The following is a 27,840-nucleotide window of genomic DNA, read 5'->3' as shown; positions in this document are numbered from 1 at the left end:
AGAAGATACACAAAATTTCAGACATTACCGTGGTACTATGTGTTATTAATTCCACTTTTATGGGAACTATTAGAAAGTTTTATCTCTAACAGGTGCATATTTAAGTTACTGATAAATGAAAATTAAATACTGCTTTTTATCATTTTTTTAGTAAGACTAAAAATTAAAGATTGGGGTAGAGAAACTAACTTCTTTGAGAACTGTGTTTATAACTATTCATTTAAATTTTAAACCTATGTGAATGACCTCTAATAATGAGATGAAAATGATACTTGCATAAAAGATATTGTGATAAATTTACCATAAGAACTTAAAATTTATTCCTAATTTTTGACATTGGTCTCATGAGTAAAATATGAATGTACTTACTAACAAAGTCTCATTTCTTCTTCTATTATTGAATCATATGACGTATATGCAGAGGAAATGTATGCTGAGTTATACAGGCAGTGAAATAAGCAGGAAGAATTATGCATATAGCATTGTATATATCTATCTTTAGAAACATAATTCTCCAAAAGTGAAATTAGTCATGTTTAAATTTTAAGAATTTGAACATCTAATCTATCTTAATGCAACATTATTTGCAGCTACAAACCAAGAAATATAAAGTATCTCTTTATTCACATTAAGTGTAAGAACTATAGTAAGAACTATAGTGTAAGAACACATAGTAAGAACTATGTTTTGAGCATTTATTAATAATAAACATTATTGTTTTAATATACAAATATGTTAACCTTTACTAATAAAGTCAGAGTCCATGGAGTGAGAAGGAAAAATTTAAACTATTACTAAATAAGCCTCTCAAAGAGGAAACCACGAACTGGTATTGATATTACAAGAAGGTCTTCTAATTCAGCCTGGTGACTCTGGTCACATCTCAAGAGTGAGACTTGGGTTTTAGTATCTCTTTTCTTTCACTAACTATATAACATTGAGATAAATTATTTACTAACTACGTCTTGATTTCCATATGCTATGCTTTGAACAGGTTTCCCTCACCCCCAAAATTATATGTTGAAAACTTAATTATTAATGCAATAGCATTGAGAGGTAGGACCTAATGGATTAATAACATTATAAAAGGAATTTGCCAGGCTAGGTTTGCCCTTTTCTGTTCTTCCATGTGTGGATGTCAGGAGAAGACCATCACCAAATACAAACACCATGATCTTGGACTCCCTAGCCTTCAGAGCTGCTGCGATAAATACATTTCTGTTATTTATACATCACCCATTCTCAAATATTGTGTTACAAAGTGGACTAAGACATCATGTAAAATGGAGATAATACTCATAATTATTTAATATAATTGCTACCAGGACTAAATATGCAATGTATAAAGTACTTGTCATAGTCCTTTGCACATAATCAGTGCTTAATAAATCTTAAGTTACTTTTTCTCTTGGTAATAATTATCAGTCTTACAATACTCCCTCTCTCTCTGTCATTCTTACACCCACACAAACACTCAAACATATATTGAAAGTCCTCATACAACATTCTGTCTTCCCATCCCAAATTTTTAGTGCCCCACTCCTCATGCTAGTTTACTCTTCAGACTACCTCTGTTACAAAAAGTTTTTGAATAGTATGTCAAACTATTGTATAACGTTGAATATTACGGTCTAAGTCAGAATAAAAACGAATGCTAGATCACTGAATTTGACCTGGGATAGAAGTAGATGAGGATTTAGAAGTTAATAGCAAGGAAATGGAATGAAAGTCAAGGGAAAATCCAGGTTTGAAATAGTCAATGTTCAGTGCTGACAATTTTAAGGTCTTCTTCTATCTTCTTTTTAGTCCCTAGAAAATAAATCTCTATCGCTTGAGTCATTGCCTGAGTGAAAGGAGAAGGAATAGTTCAGAAAAGATAACTGAGCCCCTCTTTCCATTCATACTACCTTCTCCCTTTGCCTCCTGAAAGGAGATAACAATTTACCGCAGTGGAAGTGCATATAGGGGTAACATAGGTATAATATAAGATCTTGGACAACTAAAAGGCTCCTTATATCCTTGAAAGTTCTTCTTTCAAGAAATTGCATTTATGGGCTGCATAGCCTTTGATTATAAGATTATATTTTTGAAAGCTTAAAACTCAAATAATTTCTTCTGAACACATCAACATTTCTTTCTATGCTAACTATAATAATGTTATAATAAAATACCATATAAGTATGAGGTAGACAGATTAAATTGAAAAAGAAATAGAAAATGCAAGAATCAAAATTTGGTAGTGTAAGACTTAAAAATTTTACCTTGGACTAACATTGTTGATGTTTACAAAAATCTGTTGCTATTTACGTATCTACAGTCTGTCAAATGTAAAATGTGTAGGAAAATATTCCATGCCTTGCCGAATATGAATAAAATACTTTAACAGATTCCTCAATGAATAAACCTTTCTGTCCGAAGCTAGGGATTAGAGTCTCGTTGCTTAATTTTAAACATGAAAAGTGAGAGAAAAGTAATTAAGTCTGGAATATAATCAAAGAAGGAAACTATCCAAGTTAATCTAGTTTCTAAATTATCCTTTTTCCATTAGCAATATTTAGTTTTGAGGGTTTTTCCCCCCTCTGGAGAATAGAGGAACATGTATTTATCTAAATGAAGGTACCTACTTATCATGTTTGCTTTACCAATATACATGAAAGCCTTCCTAATTCACCCACAGACACAATATCTACGTCCCTGAAATAATACATTTTAAAATTTTTAGATGAGGTAAATGAACAAATACCCTAGGGGACTACAGATTGCATCATATATTCCAAACACTGTGCCAAGTAACTCTAAGCCTCAGCTTTCACAGTAGAAGGGAATGTCTAGATGCATCTTTACTTTGATTATCTAAATTACAATTTCAACACAAGTAAAATCATATGACTCACAAGTTTTTTCCAGAGCATGAAACAATACTTTCTTCTATTTTAAATTAATATTATTAGCACTTAGAACAAAAAAAGGTAAATTTAAAAAATGAACTGGAGGGAGACGGTCACAATTACATAGCACTGCCAAATCAAGTTCTTATAATCATTAAAGGGCTGAGAAAATGTAAACTAATTCCTCATGGACAGCAATCTGGAAAGACAATCAACAAAGTGAAAAGTGATGATTTCTAAATTATGACAATTTATCCTGGCCAACAAAAGATTATGTGCTTTCTATGCTTTTGTAATACATGTAAAAAAGTTCTCCTTTGGAAATATTAATAGCATGATTAATTTTAATCTCTGGCTCTGATACACTAGCTATGCAGGCTTGTGTTAAGTCATTGTTTTCTTTTTTTTTTTTCTTTTTGAGACGGAGTCTTGCTTTGTCGCCCAGGCTGGAGTGCAGTGGCGCCATCTCGGCTCACTGCAAGCTCTGCCTCCCGGGTTCACGTGCCATTCTCCTGCCTCAGCCTCCAGAGTAGCTGGGACTACAGGCGCCCACCACCACGCCCGGCTAATTTTTTTATATTTTTAGTAGAGACGGGGTTTCACTGTGTTAACCAGGATGGTCTCGATCTCCTGACCTCGTGATCCGCCCGTCTCGGCCTCCCAAAGTGCTGGGATTACAGGCGTGAGCCACCACGCCCGGCCCATTGTTTTCTTATCCGTATGAAGGAGACATGATAATTTCATGCTTACAATGTTTAAAATAAATAATATATTTAAAGTAACATAATGTCTGGCACATACTAAACAAATGCTGGCTTATATGACATAAATCAATGTTGGTTTATGTATAACAAAGCCTAGTTTATTAAAGAAACCTTCGCTGACAATTTTTTTTATTTTCACAAAAACAATAAAAGCAAGCATTGCCTATAGATTTAATTTTTCTTTCAAAAAATTTGCTATAAAAGAGTATTCTTTTTTATTGTTAGGTTGACGGAAAGTGAACTGAATATGTCAATCAAATTTATGATTTTTGCTGCTGAAATATGGGACTTGGGTATTAGATATAAAGTGTAATGTCTTGATCTGTCTAGGATATCTTTATCAATATCCGGTAGAAAGCCTCTCTCACACTTTCATCCATTCATGACAAGGCAATATTAATTACATATTTTTAGGTCAAAATTGGAATGCCTTTCTCTAAATACATTAAGGGAACCTAGAAAATGATATATGTAGAATGGTGACATATTTTTCTGCCATAAAAGTGTATAGATAAGTGAAAGTTGATAATTTTTTTTGGCAAGTTACTTATGACGAATGCCAGCCTAATGTGTTGGCTACATAAATAAAATAGAAGTAAAAAAATAAACATAGATGTTTTAAAAGAGACAGAAAAGACTGTTAGGCAATTGAAGGAAAGATATGTAAATAAGGAAGCAAAAAAAAGTTTATTCCACTTTAAAATATTCATTTATTGAGTGTATTTTAATAATAAGTAGTGCTCAAATAGTCAATTAAAATTCAGAAACATTTTTAAGAAATACTTTGTCTAAAATGATTACTTTGTATGCAACAACTATTTCTTCTGCAGGAACAAATATTCTAGAATATTATTCGAATTAGAATATTTTAGAATATTATAATTAGTAGAATATTTTTTCTACTCACATTCTAGTTAACTCCATATTTCCCAGATTACTTTTTTTCACCTTTCTTTACAGAAGCATAAATGACTCACTTTATCACTTACAACTAACTATTAGTATGGAAAGAGTAGTTTGTAATATCTGAGCTTCAACTTATACATCAATGGTATTCAGTAATATTATATAGCATAGATAAAAGCTCCTAAAATGTTAAGGGCATGGAAAAATTTTCATGGGCTAATAAATTGAATGACCCTCTTTATAAGAATCTTTGAATAATTAATCACACTTTCTTCAAAATTGGCTAATGTCTAATAGAACATTATTTCTTGACTGCTAACTTGAGGTTTGTGGGGTTCAATATTTACTAAAAAATTAAAGACTTCTGCTTTACTATTTTCAATTGAAGTTACATCAGATAGCCTTTAATTGGGAAGAAGACATTTTACCCGTGTCTTAACTGTGTAAAATATTTATCCATGAGTAGAAAAAAATGGTCAATTTTCTTCATTTACTCTTATAGAAATTGGCTTTAAAAATGTTTTATAAATTTTGGAAAAGCGGTTTGACAGTATTCAGTGGCAATAGAAGCCCTACTTATATCAAATACACCATACATTCTGTTCATTTGTTAAGGCAGTATACACAAGCTTAAATCAAGTGATGCTTTTCCAAATATTTCCCTAGTTAAACACTTTTAAAAGAGTTGCCAAGATTTTGACCATAACCGAACATTAAAGTAATCGGTGTAATGCTTCCTAACATGTCCCTAAAGTGTTTTTGGAATGGTATCATTACAGCTACTTTTCAACTCTGAACCATGAAAGCTTATACAAATATTTCCACAACCTGCTCTCTCTTAATTTCATTTTCTTGGCATCTTGGAGCTGTATATTTTCTAGCCCTGTACATTTGTAGCTTTTAATAACATCGTGATATTTCTTCAGTGGTTTTGAGTGTTAGAGGAGATATATATCAAGAATGACCATCTAATCCCATGAAATTTAAGTTGCAGTGTAATTTTTCCATAGCAACATATCAATACACTGGTTTTTTGGGTGTGATGATTTACATGGAAAGTTTCATGAGAACAGAAAGGGACAAAAATGAAACTAATTGATGACAGGCTTGGTGTTATTGATCATACGTATAATTTTACTCTTAAGGAAGTAGATCAATGTAGAGATGGAATGTCAAAATATTTACTTTTCACAATGCTATTAAATTTCACTAATAGGAGTAGAGACAATTATATGAAATCTAGATATTTGATATCTAGATAGCATAATAAATAGTAAATAATGTTCATTCTGACTCAAGGTATTTTACTAATTACATGTAGAGATTATTGATCATATATTATATTAATAAATGCTAATTAAGTACACATTCCTTTTATAATTGAAGATTTTTGTACAAACAATATTTTTGTAATTATAAATGTAGGTTTGCTATTATAACCCACTAATTAAAAGCTTATTTTTTCCCAATTGGCTTGAAGAATCCAACTACAGAGATGTTTTAATTTAAATTTGCTGTTTGATATTAACCTCCAATTTTATCAAATTAGAGGTATTAGAAAAAATACAAAATAGAAAAAAATGGGAGAGAAAAGTCTTACTGCTTGAGACACATTTAAGGTACCACAATTATTTCTAAATCTTACTCTATAAATTTATCACCAAGTCACTAAAGCAAATTCAATCAGTACTTTGGCTATAAGTGCATTTTAGAACGTCATTAAGCTGGTTACATCAACATCAGTTAAATTCAGGATTTGATGTGTAGTCTAGATGAAAGATTTTTTTTATATTTGGATTTGACTTAGCAGGTGTAAACTTTTCTCTATTATTTAATTCATTAAGCTTTCTTATTGAAAGTTAGCTTGATTTTATCCATAAAATGTTTAATGTAACATAATGTTTTGAATTAGCTGAACAACATAGTTACATAGTTATATCATTTATATATCATGTTAGATGATTTATTTAATGAAAAATATTCTCAAAAAAGGGAGCAAATTTCTACTTCATGGGAACAAATTTCTACTTCGTGGGAAGCAAATTTCTACTTCATCACACTGAAAAATTAAAAGTGGGCGTGGGCTGAGGCGGGCGGACCACCTGAGGTTAGGCGTTTGAGATCAGCCTCGCCAACACGGCGAAACTCCGTATCTATAAAAATACCAAAATTAGCCGGGCGTGGTGGCGGGTGCCTGTAATCCCAGCTACTCGGGAGGCTGAGGCAGGAGAATCACTTGAACCTGGGAGGCAAAGGTTGCAGTGAGCCGAGATCACACCAATGCACGGAGCCTGGCAGACAGAGCGAGACTTTGTCTCAAGAAAAAAAAAAAATTGGGCATGGTGTTCCCTGTTAAAACACATGTAATGAAATGAGTACTGCTACATACTATTGCTGGAAAGACACATATAAATCACTCTTTAGAATGGATATGTAGCAGTAAGCTTTTCAGAAATTAGGTAGGTAGAGTTTTAGTTCAAAATACACTTTTAAGTCTCTACTCTGCTCAATCACATACTCAAAGGAATAAGTACAAGCATTTTACATCAACATTCTTTATTAATTATTTTTTCTACCGCAGGGTAAATATGGAGAGATAAATGAGTAAAAGAAGGTTCATCTACAGTGTCCAGCCATTTGAAAAGAAGCAGACATTGACTAAAAATATGTGATTACCAGCATATATATTTAACTAGACATTTTTCTAGGCTGGTAATTTACTACTTACCTTTCCTTGTCTCATTTACTTATTTATTTTGCTACAGAATTAACTTTTGGATTAAGAATAAAGAACATTATTGTTATGATAACTAAAAATCACAAGGTATGTAATTTTTTAATAATATTAAATACTTGAAATTCTACTTTTAACACATTCAAATAGACAAATCTTTTCAAACAATGAATTAGGTTAAGATGTCAAATAAGTGTTCGAGTATGTTAGCTCATGACACATAAAAAATGACATATTAATTTTTTAATATCAATTTGAAATTAACTTTTTATTAATACATACAATATTTTGCTCTCCGACTAAACCAAATGCTTTGAGGAGATTTAAAAGGGAGGAAATAGCTACTATGTATATATGGATATATATAGTAAATATTTTATTAAAATATAGGTAATTAAATGTAGTTTCATATATGTACATATGTTCTCACCTTTTTTTGGAGGACAGAAGTTATTTTGGCATATGATAGATTTGGTTGTTATATTTCATTGCAGTGCTAATTGACTCATAGTTTTCCTCAAGTTAATTAGAATCTTATTTGCCTATACTTCAATTTTATTACTATTTGATTAATAACTGTTAGTCTTTTATAGTGGAAATATAGAACAGTTTTTGTATCATTTCTCTACAGTGAACATCAAAACTTTAATCATTCTAGTTTACTAAGTTAAACATCACTATTTTATCTGAATAGACACTTTCAAACTGTAAACATTTGATATATTTAAATAGTATTTAAAGTCTCCGCTTGGTTACAAAATAACATGTGTAAAATAAGATTGAAAAAAAGTTGCTTCTATAAATGGCTGAGTAGATTTATTTTTGCCCTAACTCTTCTGTTTGAAAAAAGTGAGGAAAAAATAGACAAAAGCAATTATCTCTTCTTGTATGAAACTCGCGTCAAATAAGGGAGAATTTGTTGCATTAAGAACAAGGAGGTGGGGTGCGGTGGCTCACGCCTGTAATCCCAGCACTTTGGTAGGCCCAGGCGGTGGATCACGAGGTCAGGAGTTCGAGACCAGCCTGACCAACATGGAGAAACCTGTCTCTACTAAAAAAAAAAAAAAAAAAAAAAGAAAGGAAAAAAAATTAGCCAGGTGTGGTGGTGTGCACCTGCAATCCCAGCTACTCAAGAGGCTGAGGCAGGAAAATCGCTTGAACCTGGGAGGTGGAGGTTGCAGTGAGCTGAGATGGTGCCATTGCACTCCAGCCTGGGTGACAGAGGGAGACTCCATCTCAAAAAAAAAAAAAAAAAAAAAAAAAAAAAAAACCAAGGAGATATGCCTAAAACATTAAGCCCCACATTTGGGACTGATTTAATCCTTAGGAAATATTCTACTCCCTAAAATGGTAGCATAGAAGATGAGAAAACAGAGTGGTTTATAGATTCATGGGTCAGACACCAAATAGACTTCAGGGTTCACCGAAGTGGAAACATGTGGGTGAAATTTCTTGCTTTTTTTTTTTTTTTTGTGGGATCCTGAAGAAGTACAAACTAGGAATAACAATAAGATGCAACTAAAGTGTCTCTCCTGAATTGACACATATATTCAAATAATTTTCTTTTCTGAGTGTATTAAGAAACTATTGAGTCTGCTAAAACAAAATGTAACCATAAACATAGTGGGCAATACACCATAAAAATAATCTGATATCTAATAATAACTTCAAAATAACTATTTTAAAACATAAATAGTAAATGTTAATCTCATAACTAACAGAAAACAATGAAAAGTACAGGAAAGAAAATAACAAAAAATCCTCAATTAAAATGTAGTACAAAGCATAAAAATGGAATTATTCAGTGACAGATTTACCAGGGATTAAGCAGACCTGTAGAGAAAATTATAAAACAGATAGATAAAACTGAATAAATATCCAGAATGAGGTACAGAGAGATAAAACTTGGGAATGTATAAAAAGTGTACAAGATTGACATGAAGTACCAATTTATGTATAATTTGAATCCCAGAATAAGAAGAAAAAGTGCCTTCTGGAATAAATAGAATCCAAAATAGAATTATCTGGGAGATAGCCTGCAAAAGAACTTATATGAACATTTGCCTGGAAATGTTTAATTAGTTGTTAAAATCCAACCATTGGCTAGTGTGTGAGTAGGAAGCCCACAGTGACCCCGGACTCAGAAGTTTACACACTTTTGTAAGCTTTTTTTCCCAGGCAGCCCACATTATATGAAAGGTAGGGATAAAAGTAGAGCTTGACTCCTTTTCCGTTGAAAGTGCACTGCTAATGACTGACTTCTAATAAACAGACTGGAGAATTATAAAAATAGTAACCTTAGAATGGAAAAACCTGATAGATATTCCTTCATCCAAATAATTAAGATGAACATCACTCATAATGAATTTTATGTATATCATATAGCCCCGATGTGTTGTAATGAAAAGAGCACATAACTTTTGTGATATTCTTTTTAAAAAACATAAGCTTAGTATAATCATAAGAAAACTTCAGATAAATCCAATTTGAAGAACATTCTTCAAAATGCTTGGTCATTACTCGTCAATAAAAATGTCAGATAGAAATGCTAATTTTTAGTCACAGAAAAATGGTTATTTTGAGGACAGAATATGGTATTGATTGTGAAGGAACATGACTAAACCATGTACAGTGCTGCAAATATTCAGTTTCTGATGGAGGTGGTAATGATGGATAGGTTGGTCTGTACAAGTATATATGTATATATGTATAAATTTACCATATATATGTATAAATTCACCAAGCTGTACAATTAAGACTCATTTACTTTAGTCATGAAGGAACATGACTAAACTATGTACAGTGCTGCAAATATTCTGTTTCTGATGGAGGTGGTAGTGGTGGATACGTTGGTCTATACAAATATATACATGTATATGTATAAATTCGCCAAACATATATATGTATAAATTCATCAAATATATATATATAAATTCATTAAGCTGTACAATTAAGATTCGTTTACTTTACATACCTCAATCATTTAAACACAGATAATTTTATACTTCAATAAAAATGTTAAAGATAGTAACAAAGGAATGTTAAAATGAAACACTCCTAAAAGACACAGAGGTCACCTGAGTAAATGGGAAACCATCTTCACTTCTTCAATAGGATAACTTAGCCATGTAAAATTTTTCTGCAAATGAATATGCAAATTTGGTACAATCCAAATATAAATACAAAGTTTTATTGTCTGTGTTTTATTGTCCTCCCGGAAGTGACAAGATGATTGTAGAATTTATATAGAAAAACAAGCATTTCATGTAATAAAAGATATTTAATAAAAATGCTAATGAAAAGGTAAACATCCTTTCCAAATATTAAAATATTTATAAGGCTTCCAAAATTGAAGTGGTGCACTAGTATATAAATAGACTGACTGACCAGGGGAACAAAATATAAAGTCCAGAAAGGGAAATAAGTACATTGCAAAATCCAATTCACAGGATCTTTTAATAGCCATTTGGAAGTAATAAAACCTGACTCGTGGCTCATGTTAAACAACACAATATTTTTGTTACTGGAAAGAGATCTGTATATTAAAAACATAAATATATTAATTAAAACATGAATTGGCTGACATATCTGAACACAGAAAAAAGCTTCCAACTATAACTTAAAATTGAGATGAAATTTTTAAAATTTTGATAAATTTTCTTACAACTTATTAAAAAAGGATTTCATAATGAAACAAAATCACAAACAATGTCAAAGTAAAATATTAAATGAGAGTTCTCACAAACGAAACAATATAGGGCAAAACAAAGAGTTTACATCAAAGCATACAAATCACTCCTACACACATGAAAAGTAAACCCCAATCACTTACAGTAAGAGAAAAGCAAATTAAGTTATATTGAGGTGCCACTTCTCAACCTTTTCTTTATAAATATGCAAACACTTGGGCCAGGCGCAGTGGCTCACGCCTGTAAATCCCAGCACTTTGGGAGGCCTAGGTGGGTGGATCACGAGGTCAGGAGATGGAGACCAGGCTGGCCAACATGGTGAAACCCTGGTCTCCACTAGAAATACAAAGTTACTGGGCGTGGTGCCACGTGCCTATGATCCCAGCTACTCAGGAGGGTGAGGCAGGATAATCACTTGAGCCCGGGAGGCAGAGGTTGCCATGAGCCGAGATGGCGCCATTGCACTCCAGCCTGGGTGACAAGAGGAAAACTCCGACTCAAAAGAAAAAAAAAAAGAAATATGCAAATACTTGGCTGGGCGCGGTGGCTCATGCCTGTAATCCCAGCACTTTGGGAGGCCGAGGTGGACGGATCACGAGGTCAGGAGATCGAGACCAACCTGGCTAACATGGTGAAACCCCGTCTCTACCAAAAACACAAAAAATTAGCCGGGTGTGGTGGCTGGCGCCTGTAGTCCCAGCTACTCGGGAGGCTGAGGCAGGAGAATGGAGTGAACCCTGGAGGCAGAGCTTGCCGCGAGCCCAGATCATGCCACTGTACTCCTGCCTGGGTGACAGAGCGAGACTCCGTCTCAAAAAAGAAAAAAAAAGAAAAAAAAGAAATATGCAAACACTTGACAGTAAACAATTTTAGTGAGACAGTGAGGGAAACAAGCACTCTCTCATACAATGCCAGTAAAAGTAAAAAGTGGTAAAACACATATGGAGGCAAATTCGCAATATATAACTACATTCTTTTTTGTTGTTATTTTGACGGAGTTTCTTTTTTGTAGCCCAGGCTGGAGTGCAATGGCGTGATCTTGGCTCACTGCAACCTCCACCTCCTGTGTTCAAGCGATTCTCCTGCCTCAGCCTCCCAAGCAGCTGGAATTACGGGCGCCTGCCACCATGACTGGATAATTTTTATACTTATTAGTAGAGAGAGGGTTTCACCATGTTGGCCTGGCTGGTCTCGAACTACTGACCTCAGGTGATCCGCCCGCCTTGGCCTCCCAAATTGCTGGAATTACAGGCGTGAGGCTCCATGCCCACCCACCTATATATGCATTTACCCTTTAAAACAGTAAGACAACCATCCAAAATCTTTTTTTTTTTTTTTTTTTTTTTTTGGAGGTAGGGTTCTCATTCTGTTGCCCCAGGCTGGAGTGCAGTGGCGTGACTGACCATGGCTCATTACAGTCTTAACCCTAGGCTGATGTGATCCTCCTACCTCAACTTCTCCAATAGCTGGGACTACAGGCATGCAGCACCACGTCCTTTCCATTATCTTAATATTTTTAAAATTAAGGAAATGGTTAAAATTTGATCAGTAGAAAGGGAAATTTATAGTACTAAATGCACACAAGAGAAAACATTGAAACCAATAACCCAAGCACCTACCTCTAGATACTAGAAAAAGAAAATAATTAAAAGCAAACGGAAAAAAAGAGTGAATAAACAGAAAAACATTAAAAAATAGAGAAAGTTAATGACACAAAAATTGACTCTTTAAAAGATGAATACAATTGGTATGATTGTAGATTACCAAGAGACAGATGTAGATAGAAAGAGGGAGATAGAGAGAGAGCTCAAATGATCAATATCACGAATAAAACAGAGGATATTACTACAGATGCTGCGAACATTAGCATAATAAAAAAGAAACACTGCAAACAATTCCACCCAAACAATTTTGACAATTAGGTGAAACAGAACAATTTCTTGAAAAACACAAATGCAACCCACCCAATAAGAGAGAAAATTTAAATAACCCTATAATTAATAAAGACATGTATTTGAAATTAAATAATATGTTTCAAAAAATAAATCCTCAGTTTCAGATTGGTTCATTGAAGGATTATTCAATATACATAAATTGATAAATGTGATGTATCACATCAGCAGAATGAAAGACAAAAATTATGGTCATCTCATTAGATGCAGAAAAAGCACTGGGCAAAATTCAACACATTCATAATAAAAACTCTCATCAAATTAGGTATAGAAGGAATGTAATTCAATAAGTAAAGACCATATATGAGAAGCCTGCAGCTAACATTTTACTCAATGATAAAAACTTGAAAGTCAGTCGTCTATTTGGAACAAGATACCAACGCCCACTCTGAGCATTTCGAATCAATGTAGTTATCCATGTGCTTGCCAGAGAAATTAGGCGTGATAGATAAATAAAAGGCATTCGAAAAGAAAAGAAAGAAGTGAAACTGTAACTGTTTGCTGATAATTTAATCTTATATTTTAAAACCCTAAATAATCCACCAAAAAACGTTTAGAACTAATAAACAACTGCAGTAAAGTTACAGGATACAAAATCAACCTACAAAAATCAGCAGCATGTCTATATACCAATAAATAAGTTATTTGCAAAAGAAATCAAGGGAAAAATCCCACCTACAATAGCTACAAAAAATAAAATACTTAGGAATAAATTTAAGCAAGGAAGTGAAGGATCTACGCACCAAAACTATAAAACATTGATGAAAAAATTTGAAGGAGACATGAATAAATGGAAATATATCCCATGTTCATGGATTTGAAAAACTGCCATTGTTAAAATATACATACTACCCAAAGAAATCTACAGGTGCTATATAATCCCTATCAAAATTCCAATGTCATATTTCTTAGAAATTGGAAAAGCAGTCCTAAAATTCACATAGAAACACACAAAAAACTTGAATTGACAAGCCAATCATATGCAAAAAAGAACAAATCTGGAGTCATTATACTACCTTGTTTCAAACTACAGTACAAAACTGTGTTAATTAAAACAACATCATATTGGTAACAAAGATAGCTACATAACTAATGACACACAATAGAGAGCTCAGAAATGAATCTACACCCATACATACAAACAATTGGAATACAACAAAAGTGCCACAAATATACAATAGAAAAGGATAGTCTATTCAGAAAACAGTTTGTAGAAACTGGATATCTATATGCAGAAGAATAAAATTGGTCCCTTATCTAACACAATATATAAAAGAATATGGATTAAATACTTAAGACAAGAAACTGTAAAACTACAAGGAAAAAAATGTGTGCAGAGATAAAGTACATGACATTTGTCTGAGGCAATTATTGTTTTGATTTGACACCAAAAATAAAGGCAATAAAACAAAAAGTAGTCAAATGAAATTATATCAAACTAAAAAGTTTCCGCACAGAAAATAAAAACAGCATGAAGAGAAAACCTATGTATTGAAAGAAGATGTTTGAAAACCACACATTTGATAAGAGGTTAATATCCAAAATATAAGCATCTCAAAAAATTCAATAGCAAGAAAACAAAGAACATAATCAAAAAATAGGCCAGAGGCCTGAATAGATATTTCTCAGAAGAAGACATACAAATAGCCAACAGATATATTAAAAAATACTGGATACTGCTAATAATTAGGGGAATGCAAATTAAAACTACAGTGAGATATCTCACAATTGCCAGAATGGTTTTATCCAAAAGACAACAGATAAGTGTTGATGAGGATATGAGGAAAAGGGAACACTTGTACACTGTTGGTGAGGATGTAAATTAGAACAGCCATTACAGAAAACTCTTTGGAGGTTCCTCCAAAAACAAAATAGAATTGCCATGTGATCCAGAAATTCCACCTTTGGGTATTTATGTAATAGATCTGAAAGCAGTTTGTTGAAGAGAAGTCTGCACTGTCATGTTCATTGCAGCAATATTTATAATAGCCAAGTCGTGAAATCAACCTAAGTGTCCATCAAAAAATAAATGAATAAAGAAAATGTGGTATTTATACACAACGAAATACTATTCACCCATAAAGAAGAAGGAAATTGTCATTTGTGACAATATAGATGTAATTGGAGAACATCATGCTAAGTGAAATAAACCAGACACAGAAAAACAGTATGTGATTTTCTCACATATGTGGAATCTAAAACAATTGAACTCATAGAAGCAGAGAGTAGAATAGTGGTTACAGCGGATAGGGTGGAGGAATGGGAAGATGCTTGTCAAAGGTTACAAATCTCATCTAGGAGGCGTAGTTTTATTTTTTTGAGATCTATTGTGCAGCATGGTGAATACCATTAATAATAGCATATTGTGTATCTCAAAATAGCTGAGAGTACATTTCAAATTTTCTCACCACACACACACACACACACACACACACACACACACACACACAATAATTAGGTTAATTTAATTATTTCACACTGTATTAATACATTATGGCATTATCCCATATTCCACAAAGACATACAATTATAATTGTCAATTTATAGTAAAATTATTTTAAAATAATAAACACTAACTTGGGAATGTTAATATTAACCTGACAGACATTTTGAATGTATTAGTAAAGCTTTTGTAACAAAGAAAAATAAGCACATGAGTGGTTTCTTTGTGGAAACACTAAGATGTAGAGAATAGAAAAAGAGTACTCTATTATATAAGTTTGTACACACAACAGTCTTCACACACAGCACAGTCAACTTGGAATCTAAGCTGTTTACTAAAAGATCATATCTATGATATGAATAAGATACATCACCTAGAGAAAATCAGTCATTCTGTATAATAAGGGGAAGAAAAGCAGTTCTAGGCATGAGGAGATGGATATCGAGAGAATGTTAAGTCTCAGAGAAATATCTGCAAAATTTAGATCAAGTTTTGTTGCCATTACTTTTCCACATGGGCAGTTGAGATTTTGAGAAAGCAATGATCTAGGAGATAATCACTTGGATAGGCATACAGTGAAAGAAAACAGAATTTTGTGAGCTCAGAAATTGCTAAGTTACAATAGAAAATTTTGCCTTAAAACAGCCTGCATGTCATCACAACATTAAAAGATTTCCTCAGAAACTAGTTTGACAAAAAATTAAAGAAGATAGAAACATATAGGTAGACAATAGATATATAGATGATAGATAGATGATAGATAGATAGATAGATAGATAGATAGATAGATAGATAGATAGAAGGTAAAGATGGGTAATTTAGTTGTCAACTGGACTTGGCCACAGAGTGCCCAGATAACTTGGTCAGGCATTTTTCTGGGTATTTCCATGACAGTTTTTGGGTGAGATTAACATTTTAATTGGTAGAGTAAAACAATGCTGTCAGAATGTAAAAGGGTCTCATGCAATCATTTGAAAGCCCAAATAGAACAAGCAAACTGACTCTCCCTTGAGTAAGAGGAAATTTTTCAGCAGACTGCTTTTGAACTTTATCTCCATCATTAGTTCTCCTGAATTTTGAGATTTCTGGCCCAAACTACACATTTGATCTGCTCTATTATTGTGTGAGGTGATTAATATTTTTATATACCTACACACACATCCTGTTGTTTATTTTTTTCTCTGAGGAACCTTGACAGATAGAAGACAGATAGATAGATAGATAGATAGATAGATAGATAGATAGATACACAAGTACATGATTTCATGGCATAAAACTATGAAAAAAACAAATTTGAGGTTATAAAAATGTAATTTTAATGATAGTTACTTTTTATTATGGCATATAAATACCATAGCTATACAAGTGTTGAAAAGTTGAAAAATGTTATATAAGAAGTGGGAGTGAGATGTCTAACAAGGAAAATGCAAGCATATCAGGAAAGAATATTTAAATATTTAAATTACCTAGGCTTACAAAAAACATTGAGATAAATTTAATTGTCACATATTTAAGAAAAAGTAAATAATTTACTGCGTGACTTTGAGTATGTCAGATAATCTTTCTTGCCTCTGTTTTCTCATCTATAAAGTGAAAATAATAATTATTCTTGGGTCGTGGGAAATTTGTGAGAAATAAATAATTAATAATGTATATGTCAAGGAATCAGAACAGAGTCAAAAGTATGTGCAATGTCATTATTAATTATTGTAAACATAAATTGGATTCTCGTTTTGTCAGAAATTTTGATAATATTGAAGTGTCTAGAAACGTGCGATCATTTAAGTCTCTTTCCAACACTGTAATCTATGATTTCGAAAATGAGTTCTGAGTAATTTTGACAAACATAATTGCCTTAATCAAATTCAAATATTTGGATGAATACATAGTCTCATCCAAATGGATAAGACTCATCTCTTTTGATGAGTACATAAGAAATAAGTACATATTTCTTATACGATATTACACATTATTCTAAATTTATTTTCTTGACTTTGTAGGCTGTAACAAAATATTGCACGTTCAGCCAAATTTGAGCTATCTCTTTACTATCCCTTACTTTTTAAAATATTTCAGCATGAATGGCCATTCATGCATTTATGTTTCCAAATGTAGCACACATGGGTCAAGCAAATATAAATATCTCACCTTGCTCCAAACGCTGATGCTTTCAAGTGTAAATAAAATAAAGAGTCTGATACCACCCCATATGCCATGGTGCTATTTTCATATCATAATTTCAAACTCTGAGCACTAAAATATACTCTGATTTCTCCTCATTAATTTTTGCCAACCCCCGAATAAGCCCTGCATACGTTTGCTTTGTCTAGACTTTTCTCAGCTCATTTCCTTATTTGACAAATATCTATTGAGCAACTACTATGAATCAGGTAATCTCCAATGTACTACAAAAATAGACAAAATAAATTTTCCTTTAAGTTCTGTTGCTGAAAACAAAACAAAGCAAAAATGATGAAAGAAATCAAAGACATAAATAAATTTATAAATGTAATGTGCCCAAGGATTGGAAGACACAATATTAATAAGATGTAAATTCTCCTCAAATTCATATACAGAGTTAATGCATTTCCAAACAAAATCCCAGAACACTTTTTATAAATCAATGTTTATTAAAAAATTAATATGAAAAGTATTTTTGCTGTATATATTATTAGACATTTAAAATATTGAAAAGATTATAATAAAACATTTTAAATAACACTGTATATAGCTCTACACCCAAACTGAGAATGTAAACATTATATTATTTTAAAAAAAAATCAATTAGCAAAATTGACAACTAAATATAGAAACTCTGCACTGAAACTATAATAGTTTCTTAAATGTAAAAATCACATAAAGATGAGTTGCCAGATAAATTTTCAGGTAAATTATTTTAAGTATCAAAATAGTACCTGCTATATAAAGTTATACAGCTATACACAAATATAGAAATTTAATGAATCTATTTGCAAAAAGACAACACTGAACAAAAAATAACAACACATATAGACTTACAATTTTCAAAATATACAAACTTTCTACATAGATATGGACATAAAAATATTAAGGACAATATTATCAAATAGTCTTGAGAAAATAACTAATGAAAAAATATGGTTAGTTCAAATCAAAACCTCTAGGTAAATGGAAAGCAATATATGAGTTCAAAAAATAAGAAATATGGCCGGACATGGTGGCTCACATCTGTAATCCCAGCACTTTGGCAGACTGAGGGGGGCGGATCACGAGGTCAAGAGATTGAGACCATCCTGGCTAACAAGGTGAAATCACGTCTCTACTAAATATACAAAAAATTAGCTGGGCATGGTGGCGGGCACCTGTAGTCCCAGCTACTCAGGAGACTGAGGCAGGAGAATGGTGTGAACCTGGGAGGCAGAGCTTGCAGTGAACCTAGATCGCGCCACTGCACTCCAGCCTGGGCGACAGAGCGAGACTCCATCTCAAAAAAAAAAAAAAAAAAAAAGAAATTAAAATTTCCGTTGGTATAGATGAGATGTTGAGAAATCTAATATATTTTCCAAATTAAAACATAAAATTCTAAAATGTGTCTCTAACATGTAAATTAAGTAAAGTGACTAATATTAAGTAACCTGTTAAAAAGATATATTATGGCTAAAAATAATAATCAAAATATTCAGTCAAGAATGCCTGATATCAAAAACAATAAAAAATTTTTTAAGGTCTTTCCAGTGTATTAATGCAGAAGAAATAAATAAACCTACTGGAAAATGAGTAAGAAGTTCTGTAAGTTTGAAGATTACATATATTAAAGGATTATTTTTTAAATATATCAATAATGAAGCAGAAGATAAACTGCTTAAATTCTGAGTCTTCCATTATTAAAAAAACCTTGATTAGTGGGAAGTCTGTTTACCTTTTCCATCACTGTAAACAATTGGTAATTTTTTCAGGGATTTTTGCCCTCAGAGGAAATTCTAATTTGAAGGATTCCAGCCTTAGAAAAAGGAATACGCAATGGAGGATTTATCAAACTGTAGGAAAACCTGGTCCTCTTAGGATAAATATAAACATTTCTATGCTTCACAGTTCTCTGAAAGATGTCACCTTAAGCAATGTGTTTGTGTGTGTATGTGTGTGTGATCACATGTATGGATGTTCAACCGGGTTAGGGAAATGTACTAACATGATGTATGTGCATGTGTGTGTGCATATCTATCTATCTATCTATCTATCTATCTATCTATCTATCTGTCTATCTATCTATAGTGAGAGAGAGAGCGAGAGAGAGAGAGAGTTGGTGACTTTCCATATGTACAGGTTTCATGTCTGTGAATTCAGTCAACCATAGATCAAAAATAGCCAAAACAGAAAATAAAAAATAACAATACAATTAAAATAATAGAAATTTTAAAAACAATACAGTATAACAGCTACTTACAGAGCATTTACATTTATTGGATATTATAAATTATCTAGGATGTGTAGGTTATATGTAAATATTAGACCATTTTATAAAAAGGACAGGAGTATCTGTGGATTTTGGTATCCACAGGGAGTCCTGGAACAAATCCCCTGCAGATACCAAGGGACAACTATATACATATCAGGGGTAATGAAGATCTCAGCTTTTATCTCCTTATTTCCCACAGATCTACATAATATAGGGCAAGAAAATATATTTTAAAAAATCAAATTCAAATAAAACAAAACAAAACCATATACTAAGAAAAGCAAAACTGGAGATCCACATAGTGATCAATATCTAAATATATAAAACATGTATCAGATAAGAGGTGATATCCAAAACATATAAGGAACTCACACAACTCAATAGCAAAATAAAATGAACAACTTGAATTTAAAATGACCAAAGGACCAGAATAATTATTTCTCCAAATAAAACATAAATATGGCCAACAGTATATGAAAATGTTCTCAACATCATTAATCATCAGGGAATGCAAATCAAAACCACAGTGAGCTATCACCTCACAGCTATTAGAATGGCTTTTATCAAAAAGACAAGAGCTGGATCAGTGGCTCACACCTGTAATTCTAACACTTTTGGAGGCTGTGGTGGAAGGACAGCTTGAGGTCAGGAGTTCAAGACTAGCCTGGCCAACATAGCAAGACCTTGTTTCTACAAAAATTAATAATAATAATAATAATAATAATAATAATAATAATAACTTAGCTGGGTATGGGGGCATGCACCTGTAGTCTCAGCTACTCAATTCAGGAGATAAGAGACAACAAATGTTGACAAGGGTGTGGAGCAAAAGGAACCTTTGTGCACTGTTTTTTGAAATGTAGATTGGTGCGGTGATGGTGGAAAGAATATGAAGGTTCTTGGATAATAGAGTTTGGATATTTGTCTCCACCCAAATCTCATGTTTAATTGTAATCCCCAATTCCAGAGGTGGGGTCTGATGGTAGGTGTTTGTGTCATGGGGGTGAATACCTCATTGTTTGGTGCTTTCTTCAAAATAGTAAGTTCTCATGAGATTTGGTTGTTTAAAAGTGGATAACACTCCCTCCACCACTCTCTCTCTGTTGTTCAGGCTTTCGCTTTGTTATGTGCCAGCTTTCCCTTTGCCTTCCACCATGACTGTAAGCTTTCTGAGGCCTCATCAGAAGTCAAGAAGATGCCCGGTGCCATGCTGCCTGTACAGCCTACAGAACGGTAATCCAATTAAAACTGTTTTCTTTATAAATTACCCAGTCTCAGGTACTTCTTTATAGAAATGCAAGAATGGCAGAATACACCAGATAAACTAAAAACAGAACTCTCATAGGACCCAGTAATCTTTCTTCAGGTATTTACTCAAAATAAATAAAATTAGACCCTCATAGAGATACCTATATCCCCATGTTCTTTTCAGCAATATCCACAATAGCTAAGATACGGAAACAACCTAAATGTCCACTAATGGATAAATGAATAAAGAAATTGTGGTCTATATATACAGTGGAATTATTTTCAGTTTTATAGAAGAAGGAAATTGATAGCAGCAGCCTACCTAGGGCAGCCGCTGTGAGGAAGACGCCAGCTGCAGCAGGAGAGGTGCGGCCAGAGCTATGTGCTCCGTGGAGCCAGGAACAGATGAGATCCCCACCCGCTAGTGAGTTGGTAGGACTAGAGCCCCATGTTCCCAGGCGCAGCTGCAGCTCCAGACCTGGGCATCCCTGTGCTCTTGGGGCCTGAGAAGCCCCCTGCCCCCGCAGGCTTAAAGTGCCTCCTCCCACTCCTTGGCCTCTCCCTGCTCCCAGCACCCACTCTGATGTGGAGCAAAGTTGTGGCAGAGCCCAGGTGCTATTGTGACCTGGCCAGGTATGCTCATGCCCAGGGTAGTGCTGACATGCCAGGCCCCTGCCACCTCAGCCCCCTTTGGACTTTGGACACCGTCGAGCATGGGAGGGAAGCTGGGGAGCTGAAGGCAGCTAGCCATGGGCCTGCAAGTGCCCCTTGCATGGACTTCCTGGGTGCTGTAGACAGCATGTTGATGTCAGCAGGAGGCAGACAGGTTCCTAGGTGGGAAGAGGTGGGTCTCTGGTGAAACCCCACCTTCAAGCCAGGGACAGCCTGAAGGTTGGGGACTGCGCTGCCAGTTCCGGATGGAGTCCACAACCCACAGTGAAAACTTCCTTAATAAGTCTTTTGGCTGGTTGGATGGTGCTTTTTCCAGGCCCACCCATGGCCAACCATGGACCAATCAGCACATGCTTTCTCCCTTATGAGCCCATTAAAACCCCCCAGACTGAGCCAGACTCAGACACTCTTCAAGAAGACCTGCCTGCAGATAGGAGCTACCCACTTTGGGTCTCCACTGCGCTCTTCAGGATGACCTGCCTGTAAATAGGAGTTACCCACTTCAGGAGCTGTTCTGTTGCTCAGTAAAGCTCCTCTTTACCTTGTTCATCCTCCAGTTGTCCACATAACCTCATTCTTCCTGGATGCAGGAGAACAATTTGGAACCCACTGGCAGGAGCGAAAGGAGCTGTGACATGTTCCGGACTGGATTGCTGAGCTGCAGGATGTGTCATGCTCCCAGACTGTGGGAGTGAAGAGTGGCAACCCTTCTGGGGGCCCAGACCTTGGGGTTCCCCTAGCTGAGCTGCAGTAACACTATAGCCCTCCCATCTTATGCCCGTGCCCAGCAGCTGCCAAATGCATTGGGAAGCAGTGGCAGGGCCTGGACAGCCCAGGAGCTGTGGGCCGGCCGGAGCAGGGCAGCAGTACTGAAATAGCTGTAACACGGATGGGCTGAAACACACACCCCCAAAACACACCCCCACTCCACTGCTCACTGCCCTGAAGGTGATGAGGAGAAAAGAGTTGTGGCCCCTCTGGGGGCCCAGACTGTGGGGCTCCCTGAGCCTGGGCTGTGACACCCTGTAACACCCTTTTGGAGCTCTGTGCTTCCTGGCATCTCTGAGCATTCGGGCTACACCATGTTCCCCAGTGCCTACAGTGGAAGCTGCTTGCAGTATGCCTGGTACAGCTGCACCCTCACGTGGAGCCAGTGCCTGTGCCAGCACCTGGAGCTGCCTATCCTGCCACAGCTGGCACACCTTGCTGTGCGCAGTGGCTGGACCCCACACTCACTTGCTCACACACCACTAGCTGCTCCGTGCTTGGCTCGCCCTTGTCAGGCATAGGATCTGGGCGGATAGTGCAAGCCAACCACAGCTTGCTGGGCCGCATGGGTGGAATGAGTCCAGCAGACATGAGCAAAACCCAAGCAGAGGTGCCACCGGCCACAGAGTTTTCTGGTTAGTGATGGAACACCTAAGATTCTGTGTCAAAATCCAGCAATTTGCTACAACATGGATGAACCTAGAAGACATTATTTTAAGTGCAATAAGCCAGTCACAGAAAGAAAAATACGGAATGATTGTACTTACATTTGGACTGAAAATAACAACAAAAAAACTTGAATACATAAAAACACAGAAGATAGGTGGTTACCAGGTAGAGAGATGGAGTGGGGGAATGAGGATACCAAGGTGAAAGTGTACAAAGTTACAGTTTCATAAATCTAGAGATTTAAGATACATCAATGAAGACAATAGACTAGTACCCTCTTATAACAGAAGACATGTTCCGACATCCTCTTGGATGCCTCAAACCATGGATATTATCAAACCCTATATATACTCCATTTTCTATTTATCTATATACATATCTGTGATAAAGTTAAACTTATAAATTTTGTACAGTAAGATATTAAAAACAATAAGGAACAATTACAACAATATATTGTAGTTAAATTTATGTGAATGTAATTTCTCTCAATATATTATTTTACATAATATTTGTGGATTGTGGTTGACCATGGGCAACTGAAACCATAGAAAGTGAAACCACAAGTTATCGGGGGAACCACTCTAGTTAGTACTATTGAAAACTGGATAAAAGTGTGGATTTTAGGTACTTTTACCAACAAAAAAGGAAACCATTTGACATCATGGATATGTTAATTTGCTTATCTGTAGTAATTATTTCACTATGTATACGTATATTGAAATATCATGAGCCAGCCATGGTGGTATACACCTGTGTCCCCAGTTAAGTGGGAAGCTGAGGTGGAAGGATAACTTAAGCCCAGGAATTTGAGTTCAGGCTGAGCAACATAGTTAGATCCCATCTCTAAAAACAAACAAATACAACAAAAAATAATTTTGCTAAACATATACAGTAAAAATCTAAATATAAAAATATATTTCTCAAGACAGTGTGGTATTGATTTGAGGACTGACAGTTAAACCAATAGACATAATCAAATCCAGAAACAAATTCACCTATGCACCTAATTCATAACAATGTGATCCTAGAACAAAGTAGAGAAATGACTCTTCTATAAATTGTTCTTAGTCAATTTCATATCTATATGGGAAAAAAATGAATCTGGATCTGTACTCTATGTTATACACAAAAATACATTCCTGAAGAATTGTAGTCATAAATGAGAATGGTAATATTATGAATGTTCTAGAAAAAAATAGGAGAACATCTTTATGACTTGAAGAAGGCATAGTTCCCACATGAAGGATTCAAATACCATGAAGATAAGAGATATGGTTGACTGTATTTAAATTAAGAACATTTCCTTTAAAAAATTATGAGATTCAAAAAGTAGTCACAGAGAGATGATACTTCTGATATATACATATGACATAAAAATCATGTTCAGAGTACAATTAAGCAATTACTAAAAAGCAGTAAGAAAAGGCAAACAATTAAACAACAACAAAAAATGGCCAAAGTACTTGAACATCTGTGATATTGTTTGGCTGTGTCCCCACCCAAATCACACCTTGAATTGTAAAAATCACCAAGTGTCAAGGGTGGGGCCAGGTGGAGATAACTGAATCATGGGGGTGGTTTCTCCCTATACTGTTCTCATGCTAGTGAAGAAGACTCAGGAGATCTTATGGTTTTGTAAATGGAAGTTCCCCTGCACAAGCTCTTTTGCCTACCACCATATAAGACAATGCCTTTGCTTTTCCTTTGCCTCATGCCTTGACTGTGAGGCCTCCTTAGCTATGTGGAACTGTGAGTCCATTAAGCCTCTTTCCTTTATAAATTACCTAGTCTCAGGTATGTCTATATTAGCAGTATGAAACACACTAATAAAATGTCCTTTTCCAAACAAGAAATCTAAGAGGTCAATAATCACATAAAATTATTCTCAGCCCCTTTAGTTCTTAGGCCACTTTTTGATGGGATTTTTTTTTTTTCTGATTGATTTGAGTTTCTTGTAGATTCTGGATATTAGTCCTTAGTCAGATGCATAGTTTATGAATATTTTCTTCCATTTGGTGGGTTGTCTGTTTGCTCTGCTTATCATTTATTTCTTTTTCTGTGCAGAAGCTTTTTAGTTTAATTAAGTCCCATCTATTTACGTTGGTTTTTGTTGCATCTGCTTTTGGGTCCTTGGTCATGAACTCTTTGCCTAAACCAGTGTCTAGAAGAGTTTTCCTAATGTTTATCTTATATAATTTTTATGGTTTCAGGACTTAGACTTAAATCTTTGATCCATCTTGAGTTGATTTTTCTATAAGGTGAGAGATGAAGATCCCGTTTCATTCTTCTACCTGTGGCTTGCCAATTATCCCAGCACCATTTGTTGAAGTGGGTGTCCTTTCACCACTTTACGTTTTTGTTGGTTTTGTCAAAGATTTGTTGGCTATAACTATTTGGCTTTATTTCTGGGTTCTCTATGCTGTTCCATTGGTCTACATGACTATTTTTATAACAGTATCATGCTGCTTTGGTAAATATAGCCTTGTAGTATAGCTTGAAGTCAGGTAATGTGATGCCTCTAGATTTGTTCTTTTTGCTTAGTCTTGCTTTGGAGGCTGTTTTTTGTTATATATGAATTTTAGGATTTTTTTTCCAGTTCTGAGAAGAATGATAATGATATTTTGATAGGAATTGCATTTAATGGTAGTATGGTCATTTTCACAATACTGATTCTACCCATCCATGAGCATGGCATGTTTCCATTTGTTTGTGTCATCTATGATTTCTTTCAGCAGTGTTTTGTAGTTTTCCTTGTAAATATCTTTCACCTCCTTGGTTATATCAAATAATGTAGTGCTATACTGAGATAAGAATAAACAAACACAATGAGAATGTTGAAACAATAAATGCAGATGCAAAAAAATACACTTTGATTGCATTTATATAAAGTACAAAACAGAAAATAAATAATATTTACTGTTAGACATCTGTATAATGTTGAAGGGTGTAGGTTATTGACCAGAAAGAGGCAAGAGTGGGCTTCTCTGGTATTGATAAAATTTATTTTTTTCTTGATATGCTTGGAGGCTACACGAAGTGCAAAGTTTGTGAAAATTCAAAGGGCACATTTATGAAAATTGTATGTGCATATTTGGAAGTATTTTACACTTTCAAAGAAAGTACTGAATTTAATACCCTAGTATTAGATTTCTCACTTAAAGGAACAAATGTGGGGTAGGGGCCATATGGAACTCTCTAGTTGAAACAGTGATGTTGCTGATTATGCCTATGTTTATTTTTATTTTAAAATAAATCATGTTATAGGTACAATGAAACCTGAAATACCTACGGACACACAGATAGATTTATTATCTGATTAAAAAATGTTTTTTCAAAGAATTTTGAAAATAAATCTCATTGCTTTTGAACCCCTGAAATTCTACTCCATTGGTCAATATGTCTGTTTTGGTAACAGTACTATGCTGTTTTGGTTACTGTAGCCTTGTAGTATAGTTTGACATTAGGTAGTGTGATGCCTCCAGCTTTGTTCTTTTGCTTAGAATTGTCTTGACTATACAGGGTCTTCTTTGATTCCATATGAAATTTAAAACAGTTTTTTTCTCATTCTGTGAAGAATGTCAATGGTAGTATGATGGGAATAGCATTGAATTTATAAATTACTTTCATGATATTGATTCTTCCTATCCATGAGGATGGACTATTTTTCCATTCGTTTGTGTCCTCTCTCATTTTCTTGAGCAGTGGTTTGTACTTCTCCTTGAAAAGGTCCTTCACATCACTTGTTAGCTGTATTCCTAGGTATTTTATTCTCTTTTCAGTGATTGTGAATGGGAGTTCATTCATGATTTGGCTCTCTGCTTGCCTATTGTTGATGTAAAGGAATGCTTGTGATTTTGTATCCTGAGACTTTGCTGAAGTTGCTTATCAGTTCAAGAAGTTTTTGAGCTGAGATGATGGGGTTTTCTAAATATAAAATCATGTCGTCTGCAAACAGAGACAACTTGACTTCTTCTCTTCCTATTTAAATACACTTTATTTCTTTCTCTTGCCTGATTGCCCTGGTCAGAACTTCCAATACTATGTTGAATAGGGGCAGTGAGAGAGGGCATCCTTGTCTTGAACCAGATTTCAAAGGGAAGGCTTCCAGCTCCTACCCATTCAATATGATATTGGCTGTGGGTTTGTCATAAATAGCTCTTATTATTTTGAGATATATTCCATCAGTATGTAGTTTTTTGGGAGTTTCTAATGTGAAGGGATGTTGATTTTTATCAAAGGTCTTTTCTGCATCTGTTCAGATAATTGTGTGGTTTTTTCTTTTGTTCTGTTTACGTGATAGATTACATTTATTGATTTGCCTATGTTGAACCAGACTTGTATCCCACGGATGAATGCAACTTTATCGTGGTGGCTAAGTTTTTTGATGTGCTGCTTGATTCAATTTGCCCATATTTCATTGCGGATTTTCTCATTGATGTTCATTAGGAATATTGGCCTGAAGTTTTATTTTTTGTTGTGTCTCTTCATGGTTTTGGTATCAGGATGATGCTGGCTTTATAAAATGAGTTAGGGAGGAGTCCCTCCTTTCCAATTGATTGGAATAGTTTCAGAAGGAAAGGTAGCAGCTCCTCCTTGTATTTCTGGTAGAATTCAGCTGCGAATACTTCTGGGATTTTTTTTTTTTTTTTTTTTTTTTTTTTAGTTGGTAGGC

The 27,840-nt window shown here is 34.5% G+C and overlaps 2 annotated features.

Annotated features, from left to right (window-relative positions):
• Window positions 22,432-22,931: an enhancer, noted in NCBI's record as "H3K4me1 hESC enhancer chr11:98078043-98078542 (GRCh37/hg19 assembly coordinates)". NCBI's record gives its function as "activates a minimal SCP1, AML or CMV promoter by ChIP-STARR-seq in naive H9 embryonic stem cells {active_cell/tissue: H9 hESC(naive)}" and the evidence as "EXISTENCE:reporter gene assay evidence [ECO:0000049][PMID:30033119]".
• Window positions 22,932-23,433: an enhancer, noted in NCBI's record as "H3K4me1 hESC enhancer chr11:98077541-98078042 (GRCh37/hg19 assembly coordinates)". NCBI's record gives its function as "activates a minimal SCP1, AML or CMV promoter by ChIP-STARR-seq in naive H9 embryonic stem cells {active_cell/tissue: H9 hESC(naive)}" and the evidence as "EXISTENCE:reporter gene assay evidence [ECO:0000049][PMID:30033119]".

Source organism: Homo sapiens, chromosome 11 (assembly GCF_000001405.40).
Source record: "Homo sapiens chromosome 11, GRCh38.p14 Primary Assembly".
Classification (NCBI taxonomy): domain Eukaryota; kingdom Metazoa; phylum Chordata; class Mammalia; order Primates; family Hominidae; genus Homo; species Homo sapiens.
Note: the sequence above shows the minus strand (reverse complement) of the source record. Positions and strands in the feature narration are given on the sequence as shown.